This window comes from Homo sapiens, chromosome 1, assembly GCF_000001405.40.
Source record: "Homo sapiens chromosome 1, GRCh38.p14 Primary Assembly".
In the NCBI taxonomy this organism is placed as follows: domain Eukaryota; kingdom Metazoa; phylum Chordata; class Mammalia; order Primates; family Hominidae; genus Homo; species Homo sapiens.
Genome location: NC_000001.11, coordinates 3,380,701 through 3,404,624, shown reverse-complemented (window position 1 = coordinate 3,404,624; position 23,924 = coordinate 3,380,701). Strand labels below are relative to the sequence as shown.

The 23,924-nt window shown below is 55.6% G+C and overlaps 1 protein-coding gene across 2 annotated transcripts in view, besides 6 other annotated features; it reads right to left on the bottom strand.

Moving 5' to 3' along the window:
* Positions 1-23,924, bottom strand: part of PRDM16 (PR/SET domain 16) — a 369,419-nt gene that overhangs the window by 33,997 nt on the left and 311,498 nt on the right. For both annotated transcript variants that reach the window (NM_022114.4, NM_199454.3), the window contains exons 4-6: positions 19,339-19,473; positions 8,032-8,134; positions 1,627-1,834 (exon numbers count right to left, since the gene is read on the bottom strand). In NM_022114.4, coding sequence (NP_071397.3) covers positions 1,627-1,834; positions 8,032-8,134; positions 19,339-19,473 — 446 coding nt within the window. The remainder of the gene's footprint in view (positions 1-1,626; positions 1,835-8,031; positions 8,135-19,338; positions 19,474-23,924) is intronic.
* Positions 562-1,062: an enhancer, noted in NCBI's record as "H3K4me1 hESC enhancer chr1:3320127-3320627 (GRCh37/hg19 assembly coordinates)". NCBI's record gives its function as "activates a minimal SCP1, AML or CMV promoter by ChIP-STARR-seq in primed H9 embryonic stem cells {active_cell/tissue: H9 hESC(primed)}" and the evidence as "EXISTENCE:reporter gene assay evidence [ECO:0000049][PMID:30033119]".
* Positions 7,925-8,607: an enhancer, noted in NCBI's record as "H3K4me1 hESC enhancer chr1:3312582-3313264 (GRCh37/hg19 assembly coordinates)". NCBI's record gives its function as "activates a minimal SCP1, AML or CMV promoter by ChIP-STARR-seq in primed H9 embryonic stem cells {active_cell/tissue: H9 hESC(primed)}" and the evidence as "EXISTENCE:reporter gene assay evidence [ECO:0000049][PMID:30033119]".
* Positions 8,608-9,291: an enhancer, noted in NCBI's record as "H3K4me1 hESC enhancer chr1:3311898-3312581 (GRCh37/hg19 assembly coordinates)". NCBI's record gives its function as "activates a minimal SCP1, AML or CMV promoter by ChIP-STARR-seq in primed H9 embryonic stem cells {active_cell/tissue: H9 hESC(primed)}" and the evidence as "EXISTENCE:reporter gene assay evidence [ECO:0000049][PMID:30033119]".
* Positions 12,727-13,228: an enhancer, noted in NCBI's record as "H3K4me1 hESC enhancer chr1:3307961-3308462 (GRCh37/hg19 assembly coordinates)". NCBI's record gives its function as "activates a minimal SCP1, AML or CMV promoter by ChIP-STARR-seq in primed H9 embryonic stem cells {active_cell/tissue: H9 hESC(primed)}" and the evidence as "EXISTENCE:reporter gene assay evidence [ECO:0000049][PMID:30033119]".
* Positions 16,484-16,984: an enhancer, noted in NCBI's record as "H3K4me1 hESC enhancer chr1:3304205-3304705 (GRCh37/hg19 assembly coordinates)". NCBI's record gives its function as "activates a minimal SCP1, AML or CMV promoter by ChIP-STARR-seq in naive H9 embryonic stem cells {active_cell/tissue: H9 hESC(naive)}" and the evidence as "EXISTENCE:reporter gene assay evidence [ECO:0000049][PMID:30033119]".
* Positions 16,985-17,485: an enhancer, noted in NCBI's record as "H3K4me1 hESC enhancer chr1:3303704-3304204 (GRCh37/hg19 assembly coordinates)". NCBI's record gives its function as "activates a minimal SCP1, AML or CMV promoter by ChIP-STARR-seq in naive and primed H9 embryonic stem cells {active_cell/tissue: H9 hESC(naive and primed)}" and the evidence as "EXISTENCE:reporter gene assay evidence [ECO:0000049][PMID:30033119]".

The window sequence follows — 23,924 nt, the reverse complement described above, 5'->3', positions numbered from 1 at the left end:
GAGGGATCAGAGCACATGCTGGTGTCTCCCTGCCCACCTCCTCTCTGCCGTGGCCGGGCTGTGAGGGGCAGAGGCGGCCTTCCCCTAGCAGATGGGGAAGCCGGCACCTGGATGGTTCCATCCCTCACCCAAGACCACCCCCAGGGCGGCTGGAGGCAGTGCCGGACCCCGGCCCACACTCCCTGGGTGCCTCTCAAGCTGGTCCTGGCCTTGCAGCTAGGCTTGGGCCTAAGAAAAAAGGGGTTCAACACTGGCATGAACCCAGGAGTGGGGCAAGTCCCCCAAACCCAAGGATGCCCCTCTGAGTGCTGGGCACACACCGAGGACGCAGGTCGGGAGTCACTCGGGGGTCTCCAGGTGACACGGAGGGGACCCGAGCACAGCTGCTCGGAGGGGCCGCTGCACTTGGATGAAGGAGTCGCTCTAATTCCCTGCTCTTGGGGGACCCCCGGCTTCCCTTGTCCCAGGGATGACCGTTAATCTTCATGAGCAAAGCAGTGATATATCACGGCTCGTTAATTACGGGGCCCAGCCATCCATTCAGATCAGAAACGCCTGGTTCCCGAGCATCAGGAGACTGTATCTTTTCCCCCGTTGTTAATTGTGATTTATGTGTTTATGTAAAGAAAACACGGACCCTCTTGAGCGGCGTTTACTGGGAAGGGCCGCAGTTGGGATTTGCCCAAACGTTTATTTTCTCAGTCATCTGTTCCGGGTGGAGGGTTTGCCGTCCCCAGGGAGCGGTGCGGGGATGGGCGGTAATCCCCAGCAATCACATAGCCGGTTAGTGGCCTGATGGGCTTTGCTCTGACTTTGCGAGGCTGTCCTGGAGGAAATCCTCAAAGGCAGGAGGAGGGGCCCAGGTTGGAAAAGTCTCCATAGCTCCTTACAGCACTGGACTGAATGTCCTGGTTTCACTCCCCACAGAGACCAGGAATCTTGTCTTTCCCGGGGGCCACAGGTCCCCAAGGCCGCCCAGGCCCCAGATGCTGGCTCCTGCCTGGTCTCAGGGCAGGGGAGGGCCACCGTGGGCCCGCTCATGTCTCTGAAGCCCCTCCTGGGACAGTCCGCTGCCACCTGGTGGGGAGCAGGGCTGGTGCCTTGGGGATAGGGGTGACCCCTTCTGGCTCTTGCCTACCATCTGAGAAGGAGCTGCTCGTGTGTCCGGAGGGTGGGGCCACCATGAATCCCTTGGTGGTGGGTGCTGCCACCCCCATCCCGGTCTGGGACCTTATTACAGAAGTAGCCTTGGGCTTAGCGGCTGCAGGTCTGGGCTCTGGCCTGAGTTTTTCTCCTTTCTAGTTTCTCCCCGCAGCGCAGCCCTGGCAGGCAGGGCCATGAGCCTAGGAGGTGGCTTTCTGGGGCCAGGACATTTGCGGTCGGAGCCAGGGGACACCTGCGGCTCTGGCCACGGGATCCTGCACCTGCTCTGCCCGCAGCGCCAGTGTCCCAGAAGGGGCACATATCCCCAGGGTGTGTCCCACCAGGGGGCCCTTTGTCTACACCTGTTGGGGGGCGAGGCGGGGGAAGGGAGGGGAGGAAGACTCAGAGGAGGGCACGGGAAGGGGAGGAAGACTCAGAGGAGGGTACGGGAAGGGGAGGAAGACTCAGAGGAGGGCGTGGCACCTGTACTTGTTGGGGAACATCCGCTCGCAGTCCTTGCACTCGTGGGCTTGGCCGCTGCCACCGCCAAGGCCCTCGGGCTTGAGCTCCTCAGCCAGGCCCTCGTAGAGCGCAGCCCCCACTGAGCCACACGTGTACTTCTTATGGCGCCGCAGGTCCAGCTTGGACTGGAAGAGTTCGTCACACTCGTCACAGCGGAACGTGGGCTCCTCTGCAAGAGAGAGAACGAGGTGGTGGTGAGTGAGCTGGAGACCCAGCCCAGGGCTATCAGGGGACTCTGGAGACCTGGCCCCCTCACCACGGTGCCTCAGGGCCTGCACCCAGGCTGGCCAGTCCTGCACTGCTTCCTTCCAGCCTTCAACTTGGGGCCCACCAGCCTGCCCTGGAAACAGGCATGTGGAGTCCCCAGGGCCCAGCCCTGGGCAGGACCAAAGGACCCCCCAATCTGTGCCTCAGAGGGAGCCCCGGGCGACACCCGGCCCTGCCTGTGCCTCAGGCAGCCACTGTGGGCTGGAGAAGGCCCCGCTCGGGAGTGGAGGAGGAAGCCGGGCCAAGTGCTTTGTTTATGAATCAGGAGAAAAACGATGACAGAGCTCCAGTGCATATAATAAATTATTGTCGTCAAGGTCAAACAAATTAAAAGGGGGGCAGCTATTATTAAGTTTACGAGGCAGCATCCTGACTGCCTTGCCAAGCCAAACAATCAGCCTGGAGCTGTCATCCCGGTGGGGGGCTCTGGGCCCGTCCCTGCCTCCCCTGCCTGTAGCAGCTGGGCAGCAGCCTTCCACCTAAGACGGGAGACCCCCCCAACAAGATGCCTCATCCCCCCGGCTCTGGAAAGAACGCTGGCACTGAGCTCTTTCCCAAATGAATTGAACAATGGTGTGTGCACCAGTGTGTGAGTGCACGGGGGCGTCTTGGGCATGAGCAGGCAGCTGTGTATGCACACGTAAGTGTGAATATCTCAGCATATCTGCATCCATGTCTGTGCATTTTTGTGTGACTGTGTGTGCATGTCTATGCACTTACACCCATGTTTGTGTGGGCCTGCATGGGTACTCATGTGCATGTGTGTGAGGATGCATGTGTTTCTGCATGCACCTACATGCGTGAATATTTGTGTGCACTGGTGTGTTTTCATACTTGCACATGTGTGGTTTGTGGATGCCTTTGTGTTGAGGCATGTGTGCATCTGTGTGTTCATGTGGGTGCATACTTTGCATGTGTGAATGCACGTGTTTCTGTCTGCATGTGTGTGCATTTGTGTTATGTATGCATACGTGCATATTATACATATATGTTCGTGCGCATGGGTGGCTATGTTGTGTGTGCATATGTGTTTGATGTGCACACATGTGCATGTGAATATGTGTGTGAACACGCACATTGTGTGTTGGTTTGTGTGTGTGTGCGCCAATGGGTGTGTAGTTGTGCAGGCATGAATATGTGTACACATGCTTGTATATGAATGTGTGTATGCTAACGTGCATGTTTGTGTTTGTGTGCATGTGATGTGTGTATGCATGCAATTTGTGTGTGTGCATTTGGGTGCTTGTGGGAATGTGTGTTTGGGTGTGTATGCACGTGCACGAGGACTGACCCAGTGCCCAGCATTGAGCAGAGTCTTCATGAGCTTGGTCTGAACGTTGACTCAAAGGCCTGAACCTAAGGATTGCCGCGGAGACGGGGGGATGGGGGCAGATGGAAGAGGGCTGTCACTTCCTGTCCCCTCCCTGTGTCAGAGAGACCACCACGGTCATAGGCCTTTTAGAGTCCTAAGGAAAGTGTGGGCTGCTTTGCAGTCTGGGCAGTGCAGGGGTTACCAGAAGTGGCACCTCCTTGCTGACTGGAAGCTTCCCTGAGCCTAAGGGTAGAGATGCTGCTATTTGGCCTGGGCCACCCCAGCACCCCTGGCGGGTCCTCAGAGCCTGGCTCCCTGAGCCTCAGGTGCCCAAGGTGGGGATTCCAGCAGGGTGCTGGCCCCAAGAGACCACAGCAGGCATACTGGATGGCACGCACCCACCCACCCCTTGCCAACCAAGGTACAGATGCCAGCTTGCCAGATGTGATTTTTGGTGCCGTCTTTGGACAGAGGTAAGTATCTGGCTGACAGGGAAGGGGTGTCTGGCCGAGAGGAGCCCCAGGGGTGTGTGCATTGGGGGTGAGTGGGCAGGCACCACTGCTGGTCAAGATGCACCAAACACTGTGATTTCGTTCTCAGCCGGTGTCCAGGCATCCTGGCCCTGCTCACTGACCTGAACCTCAGGAAAGCACTGGTTTGGGGGAAAACAAGATCATGAAGGGAAAAAAGCCAGAGGATGCCCAGGGCCTGCGCAGTCCACTTCCCACAGGACTGCGGTCCACACCTCAGCTCCAGCCTCTGGGGCTTGGAGGGCTCCGTCCCAAACCTCTCCGGGGAAGGCTGCCATTCGGAGCTTTCCGAGTTTGTTCACTCACTGAACAAACCAAACCCACCTAGGAGCTGCCAGGAGGGATCCTTGGACAGGGTGCACAGCCTGGGAGGAGGTGGGCAAGAAATACTCACCCTAGAAGTCTACAAAATGCCACCTTGAAATGTGATTCAAGCCTGCAAATTCTTCAGAGAGAGCCCACTGTGCAAATGATGTGGGTGGCAAGGCTGACCCCTGGGGTCTGGTGGGAGCCCCACGTGGCAGGTCCTGTCCTCAGGGCTTAAGAGAATCTGGGCACTGAAGCCCCGCATCGACCTGCAAGCACCCAGGGAAGGGCGACAGTATTCGCATGCCCGCTTCAGAACTGGCAAACTGAGGCTGGGCAACACCGAGTTGCTCGTCCAAGGAAGAGGTGGAGCAGTGGGCCTGCAGCCTGCCCATGGTTTTGGGGCCGAGGAAGCAGGGCTGGCAGGGCCCCAATTTCCCACTGAGGGTTTTGGGGAAAGCGAGGTGAGCCTCTGATAGAGGGATGCTCACCATCACCCCCTCTCAGGCCTTCCCTTGTCTTCAGAAACTGGGATTTTCACTGGGGAACAAGCCCTGCAGATCTGAGCACCAAGACCATTGCAGAACACAGCCAACCCGCAGACCTGGGAAGCTGCCTGTGGGTGGATTCCAACGTCCCGGGCTGGAAGGAGGCTGAGATGGGGCCTCCAGCCAGCATCGTGATTCAGTTAGAAATGCCAGCTTTTATTTTACTCTTTCTGGACCCAATGAAGAACAATCATAGTAGTTGAAATTTGAAAACAAAGACAAGAAGAAATGCCAACCCCACCCACTCATATTATTGACCAACTTATTTTTTCCAGTTCTCATTTAGAATTTGGGATGAAAATAAAAATTTAGATTGCAAATGAGAATGCAGTCTGATTCTCACTCCAATGGCCTTGGAGGGTGCCCTGGACGTGATGGAGCCGACTTCAGTGACCATCCCTGCCCTGCTGCTCCCCAACCCCAGCCCTCCACGGATGGAGCTGGGCCCCCATCAGAGGACAGAGCCGGGTACAGGACACACCTGAGCCTGGCCTGCCCTTACTGAGTGGTATGGACAGGTCTCCCGGCTGTCTTCCAGGCAGGTAAGGCTGGCCCTGAATACACCCCTGGGGCTCATGGAGGGGCCAGAAACGGGGGCATAGTTTATGGCATTTTCACTTTCTCGGTACAAGAAACTTCTGCTTTAAAGAAATGCTGAAAGAACATGTCCTATTCTGATAATGTTTCCCATCTTATTATCTCTGATCTCACGATCTGGCTGGCTCATGCGCTCTGTCCTCCACGCACTGCCTCCTCTTGACCTCTTTTGGAGAGAGGAAAAGCAAATTATCGTGAGGCTTTCTCAAAAGAAAAGCATATGGGAATGGAAGTGACTTTCTTTATTTTCTCCCAAGAGCAAAAAGTTCTCACGAAAGAGAATTCTTTCCTCTTCATTGTAAGTGTAAAAGCAAAACACAAAGTCGAATGCATCTGAAAGTGGCTTCCCCGTGGTCTGAATCACTTGTGTGAAAATGGGCCTCGCATTCTTGACAGAGCTGCAGCTCTGCAGAGGGAATGTGTCCAGCCCCGGGACGGCAGGGCAGAGGCTCGGTTCTCCCGAAGCGGGCTGGCCCCCAAGGGTCTCCTGTGTCTTCTTCACTACCTGAACGTGGTCTCCAGCCAAGCCCTCTTCTCCCAACAAAAGCACAAAATATAGTGATTGGAAATGAAACTCTCTTCATCTGGCAGGGGTGCGTGGGCCGCGGTACAGCATCCACCTGTCACCTACGCCAACTAAGCCAACGCCGTGGTGACCTCACATCTTGTTTGTCATATCTGCGCCTCACTTGCCTATCTGAAGTTCCATCAGCAATCTTCATGGCAGAGCAGGAATGTAACAGAAAAATAAATCAGTGCCTAATGGCCCCGGAGAGCCGAGGGGTTCACAATTAAGTGGCGTCTACGTACTAATCTACCAGACTCGAGGCTCAAAGGAGCTCGAGAGCCTCCTCCAAGTCCCTGCAGTGATAAGGGGCTGGCTGCATTGAGCTGGGGTTGGGATAAAAGATTTTTTATGATAATTATCTTAGTGAGGAACATTTTTGCATTTTCTTTCTGTGCGATTCAGAGTTTAACTGGTGGGGGAGGCGGCTATTGGGGAGGCATGATCTTGACAGGAAAGAGTAGGGAAAGTCAAATATTTGATGTTGGGCTATTATGTGTGGCAAGCAATTAGCCCACAAATGTTTGATAAATTATTAGGAAAATGTAGACCCAGGTTATTTAATATCAGGGGCTGGAGCGGGGTGGGGAGCAGAAATCAAGGTTTTTAAAAAACCTTTTGGAAGAAAGAAATTTCATCGTACAAATGAAATTCCATAGTCAAGCACTCTCCTTAAGTCAAGTAGATTTGTCTCTTGGCGTTCTTGTGCGCTGTCTAAGATTCATAGATCTTTTCAACAATTATTTTAAGGAAAATGAGGCCCTCCCCCCTGCTATCCAGATCTCGGCAATTGATTTTTCTTTTCTCAATGGCCTAAATAAAACCAAACTTTAGAGGAAGCTGCAGATAGGCTCCAGCTTGTTAAACTATCCTTCTGTGGTCATTTCCTTTCGGACACTCAGGGACATAAACAGATACTGCACCAAGGAAGGACCCAGCTAGCTGGGCCACGCTCGGTGATGGCAAGGGTAAATGAAGGCGGAGTTCTCCATGTCTGGTCTCGAAGCCTTCCTGCTCATTCCAGCACCATTCCTTCACCGTGAAATCAGAGTGGTTCCTTGGAGAAACTTGCAGCAAATGGCATTAATCACTAAGCCTTGGTGTGTTTGAAGGGGAGGTCCAAGAAGCGAGGAGGAAAACTCAGCCTCCCTCCAGGCTCCAGCACCAGCAGGAATCACCAGCGCCGGAAACGGCCAGGAGGGAGCTTGCGTTCCTGTTCACTTGCGGGGCCTCCCAAAGTAAAGCAGTTAGGCTCGAACCCTGGAGCCGTCTGCTCAGAGGGACCGGCGTGGAGCCGACGGGCCAGGGCCTCACTGCCCACAGAGCCTTTCCTGGCCGGCTGTTCCAGGACCCCGTAGGGGAACGGACACATGGCTTCATGACGTGAAGGCAGGAATGAGCCTGTATCTGGGAAGAGCTCATCTGTGTGGGACTGGAATTTTCTCAGGCATCCTCTCAGCTGTACTTGGGTGTGGAGGAAGGTGAAAGGGAAACTCACTTGTCCCATCTCTACTCGACAGAGAGGGACTGGCAGATCTAGGGAAAAGGAAATTTGGAAGGCTTCCCACAGCCCTGTCTGGAAGAGCGGGGCGACTCCGCATCACTGTGAGACCCGCCTCAGACCCCGCATTTTCCCTCTTGCCAAATGAAACTTCCCCTAACACTTCTCTTGGAGTTTTAGCTACAGATGCACATTTTGCTTTGAAAGATACATATGCCATCATCCACTCTCTTAAATGAAACAAAATCTTCCCACCCCACAGAGAGCTCTGGGGCAGCCAGAAATGCTTCGAAGCTACAAAACTGGCTTGGTGTTTGTTTGTTCGTTCATTTAAGTACCAGGGAAAGCAAAGGCTGCTGTTGCTGCTGCTAATAAGAATAATAGCAATAATAAAACATAGCTTAAAAAAATCACCTGGGACCCTAACATTGCAAAGACATAATCCACTGGATACCAGTTTGCCCACTGCCCGAAGCCCTTCTTAAATTCTGGGTGCACCTCCTGGATGCCCCAGGGAAGAGGAACAAGAAAGCCATTAGGTTGAGCCTTTGTGGAGGCGGGCAATTTCTGCTGGCCTGAGGTCTGCAAAAATGGAGGCACCTAGCACTTGGGGGCCGCCTGGCCCTCATTAGGTGGCTTGAGGTGATGAGAGGCCCTCGGTCCTCCCAGGCATCTGCTCCTCTTCCGGGCTGGCTGGGGGCTCCCAGGGGCCGTGGCCCGGTTTGGGGGAGGGGTCTTACCGTCCAGGCCGGGCGGCACTGTGCCCAGGGGGTAGACGCCTTCCTTCACGTGCACCAGCAGCTCCTCACCTGGCTCAATGTCCTTAATGACTTTATAGTAAATCTAGGATGGAGAGACCAGAGAGAAAGGGTGAGTGTGGTTTGTTGGTGTCTGGAGAGCCTCTCAGTGCACACTCAGCCCTCACACTGTGGACGCAGCTCGGCCTGCACTTGATTTTCCTCTAATTGCCACCAAGAGGGTCCACTATGGAACTTTTGCAGAGTATGCGCAGAAGGAATTGCGTCCCCTTTTAATTTGCTTTATTGGGTTTTAGGATATTCATAAAGGGGGTGGCCGACTAAACAGGTAGGATCCACATGAAAGTTCCCAGCTGGGGGTGTCCTGGGGGCACAGCAGAGCCCCGCTTCCACCAAGAGCCCACCTGGGTGGGTTCTCAAGTTTCTTTTGTTCCATTTTGTGTATGTAAGTGAGACCCGCTTTGCCAGTGGCGGCGGGGGAGGGGGAGCTCAGGGTGTGGAGTGAATCTGGTTGTTTCTGAAAGTGGCCATGAGCTGCGCCTGGCCAGTGAGTCAGGACATGGGGCTGCGGTTCTCCCAGGAGCGGGGATGCCATGAGCCAGGAAGGCTGGGGCGGGCAGGACTGTGTGCCCACTGTCAGCTTGGCGCCTTGCTGCTGACCCCACAGGCGGGAGTCTGGGATGGAGGACACCCTTGAGAACTGGTGGGCTCAGGTAGATTCTGCAGCCTGGTCAAGCCCTGGGGGCGAGGGGACCTCCATTTGGAACTCTGCTCACTGAGCAGTGCTGTTGGGGGCTGTGTCACTGCAGCTTGCCAGGGGCCTCCTGAAAAGAGGAGGTTGTCTTGGGGTGTGGAAGTGGTGGTCGAGATGAAGAAAATTAGCAGTTCACAAAGGGGAGGCCAGGCCATCTGAGGCCTGGGCCAGGGCACGGGCCATGCCGCCAGCACAAGGAACCCTGTGTCTTCGGTCCGGGAGTGTCTGGCGGCAGGTGTGTTTCTCTTGGGGGAGTCACTGCCCACCCTGCACATGTGGGTGTTTGAGACTCTCTTCTGATCACAGTAACTGGGGAGCTTCCAGGGAACTGCAGGCCTGGCCGGAGGACTGGCTGTGAGGCTGGGGAGAGGCCCAAGGGAAATCCACCTGCCCCTGCGAGACCTGGGGCTGAGGCTCCTCCAAGAAAACAGAGTGGGTCTAGACTCAGAAAGGGAAGGGCTCCCAGGGATTGAGGGGACGTGGCCATCCTTGTGGGTGACACTCCCATCCCCACTGACCATCCTGTGTCAGGCCAGGCTCTCCAGCACCTGGACCTGGCTGGGGTCTGTGGCTGGACACAGCTGGGCACCCCCGAGACAGGGCTGGGTGTGGCCCCTGCATGCTCCTCCCCCATGTCCCCCACATTGTGAATTTCACTACAATCTGCCAGTCCCAACTGACTCCAGAATGACACCAAGGAACTCTCAAAAGACACACATAAGTCACAGCGTGACGGTAATGCCCAGTGTCTGCTACTCCCAAGACACCCAGACAGGAACTGCACGAAGGAGGACAGGCAGGTGCACGGCCTCTGTCAGTAGTGTGTGAAGTTCCCTTATGGGGCGTCAGGTAAGTTGCTAAAATTATGAGGAGATGTAAAAGTGGAGAGGAGAAACTGGCCCATGGTAACTTCTTCAATTAAACCCATTATTATTAGGACCCCAGTTTTGTATCATCTTATCAAAAAAAAAAATCACACAGTGGCTGAATCATTGTCTCTTTTTTAAAAAAGAAACTTGAGCCACTGTATTAGAAAATCGGGCCCAAAGTGCGGGATGAGAAGCGCCAGCTGGGACAAAGCCCGGGTGACCCTCTGAGCGGTGCCGTGAGTGGCATTGTAGCAGGCGCAAGTGGAAGGGGCTGCTGAGTGACTGCCCGGCCTGGCTGATGCCCGTGGGGCAGGTGGCCTGGCCCGGGCCCTGGGCAGGAGAGAGGAGGGTCAGCGGGCGAGGCTGAGGCTTCTCGAGGGGTCCCGTTAGAGGGCAATGTGGACCCTGGCCGCCCGCCCCTTGGCTCCACTCCAGGCCGCACCACCCACCCCACCCACCACCTCCCTCTCCACCCCACCCCCGTCGAGGGTCCTGACGTGAGACCTCGGGCATCCTCCCGCACTCCCTGCTTCTCGGCTCCGCTCCACTGGCGGGCAGAGGGCTGGGTGGGCGGACGGGGGCTGGGCGGCCCTCCTGGATCCTCCGCCTGGCCCCCTCCGAGAGCCTCCGAGCGCCTCCGAGCCTCCCGGGATCCACACCCCAACCCCATCCCCTCTCTGCAGGCCACAGACACTCCCAGGACGCCGCCCGGACTCCCTTCTCTACACACCGAGCCAGATCTCCTGGGATGCCCCCCACCGCAGCTCCGAGGGCGCCAGGCCTCCCTCCTCTGATCCGCGGCGCTGCGGAAGGAAACCCCTTCCCCCACCTCTTCCCCCAATCCGAGGGCCCCCGGTGTCTCCTGGGACCCCACCCCGGCTCCGAGGGCAGCAGACTTGCCGGGGGACCCTCCCCTCCGGCGCGGACACTGCCCTGGAGCCGCCGCCGCCGCGGGAGGGTCTAGCGCGCCGGGCCGCGGGCTCCCCCTCCCTGGCCCTGGACCTGCAGGAGGAGGGCGCCTTGGCCATGGGACTTGGAGCCACAGTCGGAATTAATCGCTATTACTGCTGATCGCAGGGCCCGAGGCGGGGCGGGGCGGGGGCGGGGGTCCCCGACCTGCCTCCAACTGCTTCGGGGGTCAGAGGTGAACGGGAATCCGCGCAAACTTTTCCACACTCGCCGGCCCCGCCCTTGCCAGCGGCGCGGAGGTGCAGACAAAAGCTGGCTGCGTTTTTACAGCCTGTCCCCGGTGTCACAAAGGCCTTATCAGCCAGACGCGCCGAGAACGCCACTGTTCCTGGCCGGCGGGGTCAGGCGACTTCCCGGGACAAAGACCGGGCCGGCCGCGGTGGGAACCGGGCGTCTGCGGACCCAGCCTGCGCCGGCTCCTGGCTCGAGAGCGTCACAAATTGCGCATTTACTGTACTGCAGACCCCTTCCTGCAGGGCTTGTCATAAATTATGACTGCAGCTCCCTACACATTCCTGCCGTCTGCTTATAATCCTCCTTTCCTCGTGAGACCCGCGGTGGGTCCTGCTCAGACCGCGCTAAGTCAGCATGGTGGGAGAAGTCTGTTGAAGCAAAAATAAAGTCTGGAGTCTCTGATAGCCTTTAGCCCCCAGCAGCGGCCTCAGGGAGGACGACTGGCCGCCGGAAAGGAAGAAGAACAGTATATTTGCTTAAGCGACAGCATCTAGGCATCTATGCCTTTTTATAAACACTCGCCTCCGCTATGCTGTTGAAGTCGTGCCTAAGTCCCCGGGTTGTGTTGCACGGGCAAGGCTGGAATTTTCCCTTTGGTTTAAGGATCTGAGAGGGTGGGGAACCCTCTTAACAACAGCTGAGTTTACTAGCGCCAATAAATGTCTGCTGTAAATGGCTTTAAAAAAATAATGATGCCAAACAGACTGGATCTGAAGTTAAGTCCTTGTTCCAACACTTCAGGTTCTCTTTGTAACAACAATGACTTGACTGAACGTGGGTGAACAACACGAAACACAGGTCCTCCGAATTCAAACTGTATTTAGCATGACCCTGCCTATTTTCTCCCCCTTTTATCACTTTCCAGACACAAAGAGGCGGCTTCTTGTAGGTAAGTGGACTTCTGGGACAAATAAATGGCCACGTTCTCAACAGAAGGCAGAGAAATTGCCCGAGAAGAGCCTAGAGTCAGCCCAGGCCACGTTCATTCAGACAGAGCCTTTTATGAAAATTAGTATCATTGCTCCCAGCAATATTCTTTAAGACACAGAAATCATTTACATTTACAATGGCTGCCAGCTTTGGGATACCTTCTCCTTACAGGTCTTTAAAGAAAGTTTTTAAAATATCAAATCAATTCACAAGAAAAGAGACGACTTTCGAATATGAAGCTCTTAGTGGTACGGTTCTCATTCCCGCTTAATCATAGAATTTAACAATACAAATAGACGAAAAACTCCATGCAAATTCCACCAGGTGGGAATCACCGGACTGCAGACTAAAAGGAACTGGGTTGAATCTGAGCAGCGGCCGTTCTTGTTTTCTCTTTCCTGGAATAAATGAATTTTTTCCATCAAGCGAACTTTTGGGCTTTCTTGTCTCTTTTTGACCAGCGTAATAAACTTTAAAGGCAGGCTTGAATCAAGTAGGTGAACCCTCCTTCCGTGTGCTTACTGGAAAAAACTCAATCGCTCACCATTCTGGATTTCAGAATTCAACTGTGCCTGAGTTTACTGTGCAAGAGGCTTTTCTCACAAAACACGTGAAAGCAGCCAGTGGAATCGGAATTCTTTGAAACCATTTCCCAAAAGCAGATTCCCCTGGTGACCCGGTCTGCCTCTCACCTGGCCTTGGGAGAGAGAGAGGATGTTGGGCTGAGGATCGTCCCCTGCATTTTGGTTTTAGCGGAGGTGGCTGGGTCTCAGTGCTGCTCCCGGCTTCATTTTAACTCCTTGCTGTCTCCACACGCTGTGAGTGTGGGAAAGCGCTGTGATGATCCCCGAGCCCCGAGGCCGGCCCAGGAGCTGAGCATGTCGTAGTGATGATGCCCTAAGCGCCAGCAGGGGCAGCACCCCGATTTGCAGCGCTGGGGTTTGGGCAGGGGTCTCCTTTCTCCCTACCCTGTGCACGCCTGTGCTTGGGAGCCTGCCTCTGGCCGGCCTCAATTTCCGGCTTCCTCCGTGCTGAGCGGCTGGAGGAGACCACAGTCAGGCTCCCAGACTATAGACAGTCCTATCCTCTGGCAGAGCGAGGAAAAGCCCGCTGGAGTCCCGGGCTTCGCCACCTTCCTCTTGTCCTGCACATAGCTGAAGCATTTTTATTAAGCCTAAGTTTTATTATTGTGTGGTGTGCGATATGCCGTCACCATCCCAGCGACCCAGACATGAAATAAAACTCTGTGCACACTTATCTGTTTCTTAGTTGTGTGGTTTGGATCTGGATTATAAAAATATAAATGACGAGTCCACAGTTAAATTACCTTGATCATTCTTAAATAGCTTCGTCTAGTAAAGTGAGCCTGTAACGAGCAGGAAAGGAATATACAAATCCTGACAGGTGGTTTGCGTAGCGGTTCAGACGGCACAGTTGAATTTAAACCTTGTTCTTCACCAAGAAGAGGATCAGTTTGTTCCAAAGGGGGCCCCGTAAAATGGGAATCAAAGCAACCTGCATGTATTTTGGAGTCTTTTGTAAGCTGGTTATGAAATACCGAAGGAGCCCCCTGCCCTCCTCCCGCCCATTTCAAGGGGGTAAACTGTGTCGCATGGTGGGAGGCTCCTGCCTGCCTTAACCAAATTAACAATCTATGATTTTTAATTTAAAAAAATTGTGAGGATGGCTCGGGCGGTGGCTCACGCCTGTCATCCCAGCACTTCTGGAGGCCGAGGCGGGCAGATCACCCAAGGTCAGGAGCTTGAAACCAGCCTGACCAACATGGTGAAACCCTGTCTCTACTAAAAAATACAAAATAAGCCAGGCATAGTGGCAGGCCCCTGTAATCCCAGCTACTTGAGAGGCTGAGACAGGAGAATCGCTTGAACCCGGGAGGCGGAGGTTGCAGTGAGCCGAGATTGTGCTATTGCACTCTGGCCTGGGCAACAAGAGTGAAACTCTGTCTAAAAAAAAAAAAAAAAAAACACACTGTGAGAGATAAAAGCAAAGGGAATATGAACATGTCTGGGGTCGGGGCAGAACAAGATGATGGGTGTTGGATGCCCTCTGTTTAAAACCGCAACCCTGACAGGGCACACGCCCAGACAGAAACGCGGGACCCGGGTCAGAGCCCAGGACAGCAAAGCAAAAGAGAAATGCCCTCCGCCGACCCGAGAGACACCTGGTTCTCATGAACAACCCGCGCGGGCTCTTGTCCACGCGGTGCTGCCTGGCCACCGGCGGCCACTCTTCTAACACAATGCCTGCGCGGAACACTCTGTGGAGGGGCTGTGCTGCTCCACGGCGGGCGCCGGGACCCCTGCTCTGCCCCTGGAAGGCCCTGGGGTTTTGGGGTTTGTCTGATGCCCAGGCAGCCCCAGGGCGCTATGCAGATTGGGGCTGCTTCTCTCAATCCAGGGGTGCTACAGGTCGTTTGAGAGCCCTACAGCCGTTCCGTGGTACGCTGGGGGGCCCGCACCCCTGAGTCCAGCTCCCCGACATTTGTGTTTGACCTCAGCCCTGTCCCCAGCCATCTTCAGCCCCACTAGACAGTTGACATCCCACCACCAACATTCTTGCCCTATTGAGGCAACATGAGAAAAAGATAAACCAAAAAACAGAAAGCGCCGGCTGTGACAGCTCCTCCCTGCCTCCCGCATCCCCCCGCAGGCGCTTCATCGCCAAGCTCTTGTTTTCTTTCTTCACGTTAAAACAAATTCAGGAACTGTCCCTGTCTGTGTCTCCTGAAACATTTCAAACCAGCTCATTTGTTCATAATTACAGGAGAAAGAACCACCCAGGGGTGATCTGAGTGTCTTGAATTTTCCAAAAGGGAAAGTAGGAGCCAGAGGGTGGGGGGGGGGGGGGGGCGCACCCCCAGAAAAGTGCATGGAGATTCCCGAGGGCCCCTCTGTGCCTTCCGCTCATGCTCGGACGAGGCAGCAAGTCAAAGTCCCCCACGACGACTTCTGACACCTCAGAGCCCTATCTCCCTTGCAATCTGATTGCCCCGAAAGTCCCAGGGGAAAGGCTCGGTCCCCGCAGCTGTGTGCAGGGATGTTTTGCTCCCAGCAGCTCCCCAGAGAGCCTGCGCCGCTTCAGGAGCAGCGGGACCCTTGGCCTCGGAAGGGGCCAGTGTGCCCTTGGCCGTGATCTGGGGCCTCCTTGTGCAAATAGAAAACCACAAGTCCCCTTTTGGGCAACAGGGCCGGGCCCAGGAACAAATTCATGGCCCAATGTGGCCTCTGGCTCTGCTCGGCTCTCCCATGAGCCATGAGGAGGGCTGGGATGGGCCCGGTCACCTCTCAAGAGGTCCCCTGGGGCCAGGAGGGGGAATCTCATTGCCAGATGAGAACGTGGAGGTGGGGCCCACAAGCAGCCCCCTCAGCCCCACGCCATAGGGATAGCTCTTGTTCATGGAGAGGACGGTCCGATTCCCATGGGGCCTGAGATGGGGAAGGAACAGGATGCTGGGCCAGCCCTGCCTGGGAAGGAGGGTGTCGGGGCCTCCATGCCTCCCTCAGCTTAGCCGGTCCTGCCTCCGTCCATGAGGCACTGCGAGGCGGCAGGGCAGTGGGGAGCCTCTGGGGAGGTGCTGGCTGGTTGCTGAGCCTTTTCAAGCTCCGGGGCTCACATGTTCTCAAGCCCCTGTCCCCTGCCTCTCCCCAGTGGCTGCAGAGGAGCACATGGCCGGTCCTCTTTTGTACAGGGCAGGTGTCTTGGGGCGTGTTAGGGGATGCTGGGAGAGGGACACGTGGTCAGTGATTTGAGCAGGCTTCTGAGCAGCCAGAATTGGGTCCTGGCCAGACAGTCAGAACCGGGCCTGTGGGTGCTGCACTGCCCAGCTCAGCAGGTGCCCTGGAGCGCCCCAAAGCATCAGCTAGAGCGCCAGTACACTGCATGGAACCATGAGGGATGCGGGGGTGGCGTCTGCCCCCAGACCCCATCTGAATGCACAGCAACCCACATCCAGTGAAGGCCAGGAGGAGCCCGGGATGGGCTGAAGGAGGTGTGTGACTCCCCCGCCTCCAAAGTGCCCCTAAAGTGTGGGTCTCACCCCAAGGACATAGGAGCACCCTGGAGGCCAGGCCCCAGAGTTTGCTTAAGTCCTGGCTGCCAGTAGCAGGAGACTCGGGGAAAGCCCCAGCCTGGGTCCCCATCTGAATATCGACCTGAGTTTTCAGTTCAGAGCGGCCTCTCTCCTCAGCCCAGTAGAGGAGCTCATCTCTTCTGGGAGGCTGTGGCTTCCAGAACTTTCTTTTTAGGACGTTTACACTGTCTTCTGCCCTAGTCTCCTTTTTCCTTTGAAAATGGGGGCTGAGGTCACATGTCTTGAACCTCAAAATGATGGTGATGCTTTTCTGACCGAAGTATTTTCCCTGCCGAATACCATTTGGCAAACTCGACGTTGTTTTACGGAGCTCGGATGTTCAGATATGGTTCCTTCCCTTCTGTGTCTGTGCTGTATTAGAGGTGGGGGTGTGTGTGCAATCTTGAAAGAGAGAGACAGAGAAAGAGAGAGACAGAGAAAGAGAGAGGGAGAGAGAGAGGGGAAGGGAGGAAGATTGTTCACTTGTGTGTGTTTGTGTGTGGGGATGGTGTTCGTAAGTACCAGGAAATCCTGGTGGAACTCCTGGCATGGTGGAAATCTGAGAAATGGCATTAGTATCATGTGATGTTTCCTTCTCAAAGAGAAGTTGTTAAAAGCTTTTAAAAAATTCTTGGCTTTATTAATATTTCAGGGCAGTTTTTATTTTAGCTCCGCATAGGGTCAAATAGGTTGCTTTGCAGGAACCCACGTTCCCGTGGTCAAGGCCAGGGAATGGAAATGCTTTCTGCCGAGGCCGTGCGGCCGTCACAGCCGTCACAGCGCGCGAGAGGGCATTTAAACACTAGATTGAAATCTATTATATCCCTTTCAAAAGGCATTGCTAAAAGTCATGTCCTATGAGAGTCTATGGGTTTCTGAGAGCAGTTTTTCATATTTGTAGTGTTTAAATCTTATTATTATTCAAAGGAAAATACATTCCACACAATGCTCATTTTCGTTTGATAACTGAAATTCACGGTTGAGATTTCAGGAGAAGAAGCTGCCAACTCAGCCACCTCACTCCCCGTGCCTGGGCGGCGAGTCTCCTCCAGCCTCTGGCCGGCTCCTGCTTTCCCGGGCATTCCAGCCACATGGCTTATCCAGCTCGGAGGTGCACCTTTGCGGGGACATGGGCAGGAGCGTCGGTGGCCCTGTAACACCCGACGTCACCGGCTGTGCTACCTATGAGGGGTGCTCTCAAGAGCAGAGGGCTCCTCTCCCTGTCGGAGGGGAAGGTCTCACAAGGGGGTTGAGGGGGTCGGAAGTGCCCCGAGTGGAGGAATTTCTCTCTGCTTTGGGCCATTTTGGTGTTGCATTTGCTTAAATGTGCATTTCGAGTTCCCTCTGGGTTTGTGGCTTTAATTCAGCCTATGGACCTAAAACAGAGAGAACGAATCCCTTGAGGCGGTGTTGGAGAGAGCCATCTAGCAGGTCAGGAGGTATCTGAGGAGTTTTGACATTATCTGTGGTTTGGGTAATAGCGCCAAGTATGTTTCTGACTCTAGGACGGAGCTTTGGAGGAAGTCGGCACTGTGGGATGACGGTGGGGTAAAGGGAAGGAACGGATCAGGATTCAGGATCATTCTTCCATCCTGGCAAAAAGGATTTCTGCCCCCTGGTCCTGACCATGGAAACACAGTTGGCTGCAAAGCAGTCCATTCCTTTTGGACCTCATGTGTAGCTAAAAGGAAAGCTTCCCCGAAATATTAATAATACAATGAAGATTTTTTTAAAGACAGGCTTCTCTTTGAGATTACACGTTTGTTTTTTAAAAAGCTAGACACATAAAGATACCCACTTTACCGCTTAAGTTTAGTTCAAAAGTTCTAATAAACATTTATTTCTTAAATAAAAAAAATCTGGGCCCTTCATTACTATAGTTTGCATCTCACAAAAGCACAGCCCTGGCCCAGCCCCGCGGTGCCCCTGCCCGTCAGCTTCCCAACGGACGACTAAGGACACACTCTGCAAATCTGAGCCCCAGAAGGGGACGGAAAGACCGTCCTTCTATGCGCCTCAAGCCCAATTTTCCTTCACTCCAATTTCACTTTCATCTGGAAGAAAGAAAAAAATTTTTTTAAGTTCTGCTCTTATGTTTATGATTATTCTTTTGCTTCATCTCTGTATTTTTTTTTCAATCAGAAAAAGTTATTTTAAACATTTTTGGCTCTAACTGAAGGCCACGGAAGTCCTGGTAGTAGCGTAGATTCATGTCCCCATCCAGAACGAGCTTGTCCAGCGGAGCAACTGCTCGATGGAGATTCTGCTCCACAGCCAAGGGGACGGCAAATGAGGGAGAGCCCCTGGCAGCCAGCCGGGGCCTGCGGGACCTCCCTGGAGTTTGCTCTGTGCATTTCTTAATGCAAAATTGTTTCTGTAAAGTCGAGAGCCTTGAATCACTTTCAATGGCTTGCACAGGCTACGCGGGAATGTTCCGTGACGTGGTCTTCACACACATTTTTCACAGCCATGGGATCCTTTTCTTTTTTTTCAAATGAAATCTCATGTATGACCCCAAGATATTACAGGAAAAACCAGACTACTGTGATGTAAGGGGCCGGGGACCCCGGGCACCCCGGGCACCCCGAGGAACGCACGGTGTTCAGGATGCAGGCGGAAAGTGCCGCCCGGGAGGCCTGGCTTGAGAGTGAGAAGGGCCTCCAGGGGCCACTCGCAAGCTTGAAATAGAGAAATCCATGAAGCAGCGACCAGCTCTGGGGACACGGTGCCTTCTGGAGTGGAAGGAGACTCCGCGTCTTCTCCCCTGATCAGCCTGTGGGTCTGGATGCCTGTTCTGGTGGTGGTGTGGACCAGCCGTGGAGGTCAAGGATCCAGGGAGCTTAGGGGGCTCCTCAGCCCCGAGGTGGCAGGGACGGAAGTGAAGGTATCTCTTGCCTGGTTCGCTGCCTGCAGGACAGGGACTTTGTGCCAAAAAGGCCAAGGCCTTCAGCAGGCTGGTCAGAGGCCCCGGAGGCTCTAGGAGGCCCCCCGAGTGGCTGCCTCATTGGCCGGTGCGGACTCTTCGGAAAATTTGGTGAAACAGCGCCATTTAGATGGATTCTTTCAGTGACTGTTCCTGCTCTATGCTTCTCCCGTGTCCTTCAGGGAAGCGGCATTTGCAGGAAGTGTGGACCCTGTGATCCGCGGTCCTGCCTGCTTCATTGCTCTTTTCCACCTGAACCACCATCTCGGGGTTCAGGAACTGCCAGCCTCAGGCAGGGTCCCTGAGCAAGGCTCCAATGGAGCCCTCCCGGGGTGAGTCAGCTCCCCGGAAGCCAGTGCTGGCCAAGCACCAAACAGCACCCCCACTGCAGGCCAGGGCTTGGCAGATGTCCCCAAAGAGGCTCAGACAACCCTTGCCTCGGCACCTCCACCAATCTTGGTGCCACATCCTCAGGGACAATTCCAAGAGGCAGAAGCCCCTGTTATGAGCCCGGACCTACCTGCTCACTGATCTGACACATGGTGAGGTTCTGGTCATCGCAGGAGCACGCCACACGGATGTACTTGAGCCAGCTGCCAGCCCCCGCCTGATTTGCATCCACGCAGAACTTCTCACTGCCCAGGTCTTCGGAGATCTGCTGGGAGGAAAGCGAAGCGGGAGTCAGAGGTGCCCTGTGTGCTGGAGTCTGCACACAGCCTCTGCCCACCCAGAAACCTGGCTGTTTGGGCTCAAGTAGGAAGGCAAGTCGGCGTCCAGACCTCAGCCCACCCTCCGGGCATCAGCGGGGCTCCCAGCCCACCCAGCCTGCCCATGCCCGGGAGTCTCCAGGAGTCTCCAGGAGCCCAGCAGAAAGGCAGGGAATGGCCTTTTCTTTTCTCACCGAGCAGATCACTGCCCTGGCCCGGCGATAAAATGAGCCTCCAGAGTTGCAACCCCCACCCCCGCAGCAAAGCTGACCCACGTGTGAGAAGGCAGGGACTGCTGCATCTGGGAGCAGAGCCCTCTGCTAAGGAGCTGGGACGCTGCGCTAGAGAAAAGCGTGTCTGAAGGTGAAGGTGTTGCTGGGTGTGCATGTGTGTGTGCATGCTCAGGGCAGCCTGCACATCACTCTGAGAGCAAGAAAAGCATCTGGTTTCCTTAAAGCTGGAGAGTTTCAGTTTGACACCCAGCAGCATGAAGACGCCTAGCTGTTCTCACCACGCCCGCAAAGTCACACGCGAACCAACTTGGCTTTGCTTTGTTGTCACTGTTGCCTCTGAACGGGCAGAGTGGCAACCCCTAGGACTTTTCTTATTTGCTGTGACCCCCACTCCTCCGAGGACCACCGATGAGGAGACCTGACCTGCTGTCCACTGTGGAGAGACGGTGTCCCCTCAAACAGCCTGACCATGGGTGGCGGCTGCAGGCCCCCCAGCCTCCCCCACTCTGGCCAGTAGCTACTCTGGGTTCTGAATTCAAACCAGCAGCATCTTGGGCAAGCTTCCTGGGCAGCCCAGCCCAGACAGGGCAGGAGGGAGGGCAGGGGGCAGGGGATGGGGCCACGCTACACTCAGGTCCCTAAAGTAGAAAGGCTATGTCTCTGTGGGCAGGAGTGCCCTTGGGCAGGTGTGTCCTGCTGGACAGGTGCATATGGGTGGGCAGGTGTGTCCTGCTGGACAGGTGTATGTGGGTGGGCAGCTGTGTCCTTGGGTGGGTGTGTCCTGGCAGGCAGGTGGGTCACGGTGGGCATATGTGTCCTTGTGGGCAGGCGTGTCCTTGAGCAGGTGTATCTGGGTGGGCAGGTGTGTTCCTGGACAGGTGTGTCCTTGGGCAAGTGTGTCCTTGGGCAGGTGTGTCCTGGTGGGCAAGTGTGTCCTTGGGCAGGTGTGTCCTTCTGCAGGTGTGTCCTGGTGGGCAGGTGTGTCCTTCTGCAGGTGTGTCCTGGTGGGCAGGTGTGTCCTTAGGCAGGTGTGTCTTTGAGCAGGTGTGTCTGGGCGGGCAGGGGTGATGGATAAGGGAGTCACAAGGACCCAGGGGAGTCAGGATGAGACAGTGACCTGTCCAAGTGAAAACAGTGGAGGCTGACTCTGGGCACCTCAGATGCTCGGCATGCACTCTCCCGGGTTCCTAGCCATTTCGGGCCTGGTGCTGGCTGACCCTCAGATGCTGGGCATGCACTCTCCTGGGTTCCTAGCCATCTCGGGCCTGGTGCTGGAATTCTTTTGAAAAGTTAAACGTCGGCACCAATCAATGGGGAAGCATGTGGTCCACGTGCCCCGGTCTCTGTGCATGGTGTTCCCTCTTCCCCTGAGGCTTCCAGGGAAAGTTGGCCCCCAGAGCACAGCAGAGACAGGCAGAGGGCCTCGAGTCTCTTTCCTGTTCCACTTGCTCTCAGTCTCCTTGTTGACATCCACCACCAAGCTGGGGTTCCCGACTAAGGGTTTCCAGAGGTGCTGGGTGAGATAGATTGGGGTGCAGGGCGGGAGGTCAGCCAGGATAGAGGGGCGTGCTCCTGGGGTCCCTGTGCTCCCTATCACACACAGCCGTGCCTGCCCCTGGGCCCCTTCTGGCTCCATCCAGGGCAGTGGGAGATTCACTCAAAGCCTGTCTTATTTCAGAGACGGCAGCGGCAGAAATGCTCCCAAGCTCGTGGGCTGTGGCTGCTCTGCTCCATTCACCAAGTGACTGTGACTGAATGGCCAGGTCCCTTCTCTGCCCAGGGTTGGCCGTGAATTCTGTCCACTCGGAACTGTAGGTGGGCCTGTGGTCCACAGGGGACGTGGGTCCAAGAAGCATAACTAGGCTAGGGGCTGGAGCCCGAGGAAAACATTGGCGGCGGGGGGATGCTCAATATACAAACGATGGAGTAGCAGGAGCACAGCTGGCCACATGGGGCTGGCAGTATCCCAGTCCCGTCCCCAGCCCATGGGTCCACTTCTCCATAGAGGCCTGCTGACGTCACAGCACATTGTACACAGTGCCTGTGGGCTGAGGGCTGGTGCTCACCCAGGGCGGGCCGTGCCCTCCCACCTGGGACCCGGATTTTTGTCTTCAAAGCTGGAGCACCTGGGTCACAGCACCCCATTGGTGCAGCCAGGAGTACGTGCTCCTGAGTGCATCCCCCTCAGCCCAGGGACCAGCTGATGGGGCTCAGGCCACTTCCCAAGAGGCAGGACTCACCCCTAATGCACCCAAGACATGGGCTCAGCCAACACCTTCCCCCTGTTCTGGGCCCCGGCTGGCTCAAGCCTCGCTTTGGTGGGGAGTCTGTGGCCACCCTGCTGTTCAGGACTCAGGGCAGGTTCCCAGGGAGACAGCCTCTGTGTTACCAGCTTCTGCAGACACAGCTGTGCCCCAGGCAGGACTGCAAATCCCTTGACATTTGAGGTCCTGGTCCCTAAAGGGGCTGCAGGAAGGGTCCTCACGCTGTCCAGGGAGGTCACTGCCTGCCCTGCCCAAGTCCAGGGCCAGCCCAATCCAAGAACCACAGACTCAGCAGCCCGCCCCATTGCACCCCATCTCTTGCCAGGACAGGGGTGGCAGGGGCGTGGCATGGGAGGGAGGAGGCCACAAGCGGCTGGTTGTCACTAGGGAGGCAGGCTTCCCATCCTCTAGGGTGCAGACCCAGGGCCACCAGCCCCACGTGGTGAGGCCCCTCCCCAGGCACAAAGGCCTCTTAGGGCCCCCTCACCTCCCACCCTGACTGCTGATGCGCAGCAGGAAACCGCTGGAAAGGCCCGCCAAGCCAGAGCTGTGGTCGGCAGCCCTGCCATCTTCCTCTGCCACAGGAAGGGAGCGAGGCTGGGCTGGCCAAGACCCACGAGGCCCCCCCTCCCTCACCACTGGCCGGGTCTGGGTTGGAGGTCACTGTGGGGCAGGGGACTCACAGCCCCTGTACAGGTGGTGGCCTGGGTGCCAGGTTCTTCCTCTCTGTCTCCCCTGCTCTGCTTCTCTCTGTCTGTCTCTGTATCTCTCCCTCTCAGCATGCGTCTCTTTTGGGCTCTCTCTCTTCATATATGGTACAGGGGCCAGGGAGAAGGTAAATGACGCGTGAGTGACCACAGCCATGGCATGGGGTTCTCCTGGGGCCTGGTTGTTGACTCAAGAGTGTTGGCCTCTGTCGGGCACGGTGGCTCATGCCTATAATCCCAGCACTTTGAGAGTGAGGCGGGTGGATCACCTGAGGTCAGGAGTTCAAGACCAGGCTGGCCAACATGGGGAAACCCCGTCTCTACTAAAAATACAAAAGTTAGCTGGGTGTGGTGGTATGCAGCTACTTGGGAGGCTGAGGCACAAGAATTGCTTGTACCTGGGAGGAAGAGGCTATAGTGAGCCGAGATTGCGCCACTGCACTCCAGCCTGGGAGACAGAGTGAGAGACTCTGTCTCAAAAAAAAAAAAAAAAAACCAGAAAAAAACAAGAGTATTGGCTTCATCTTGACTTCCAGGCCTTGGGGCTCTCCCCAATAAATCCCTGGAAAAACAATCCGTGTCCCACTATTTTAAGTGCTTCCAAGCCCCTCGCCATCCAGGCGTGCATGTATCTGGGTGTGTGCTTGTGTGTGGGCGTGTTCCTGCATGGTGCAAATGTATGTGGGGGGTGTGCATGTGTGTGGGTGCACCTGTGCATGTATGTATGTGTGTGCGTTCATGTATGTGTGCTTGTCCTGGGGGAACGCGGCGAGAAGCCTTTGGTGAGCAGAAGGCCGAAGCCAGCAGGAGGACATTGAAGCGATGGCCAATTCCCTCTCAGAAATGTGGATTCTGTGTCATGGCAGAGCTCCTGGAGGAGAACCCTGGCCCCTTCCATCCAACCTCACATCTGAGGCCTCCTCAATGCCTGTGATCCGGCCACTGATGGCTGCAGGTCTAGGGACCCACCTGTGCACTGGGACAGCCAGTCTCCAGGCCCATATCACTGTGCTCTGTGGAGGAGGCACCCATTGTGCTCCTAGGCAGCCAGTGTATTGTTGAATGCATCGAGTCACTGGGAATTGTTTCTTGGGGGATAGGCTCTCCCTTCTTGTAATGCCCCCCTCACCTTGCAGAATAAGCCTCTCTTTTCCACATGATGGCCCTGCAGGTATTTGCGTGCGGCCTGAGTACT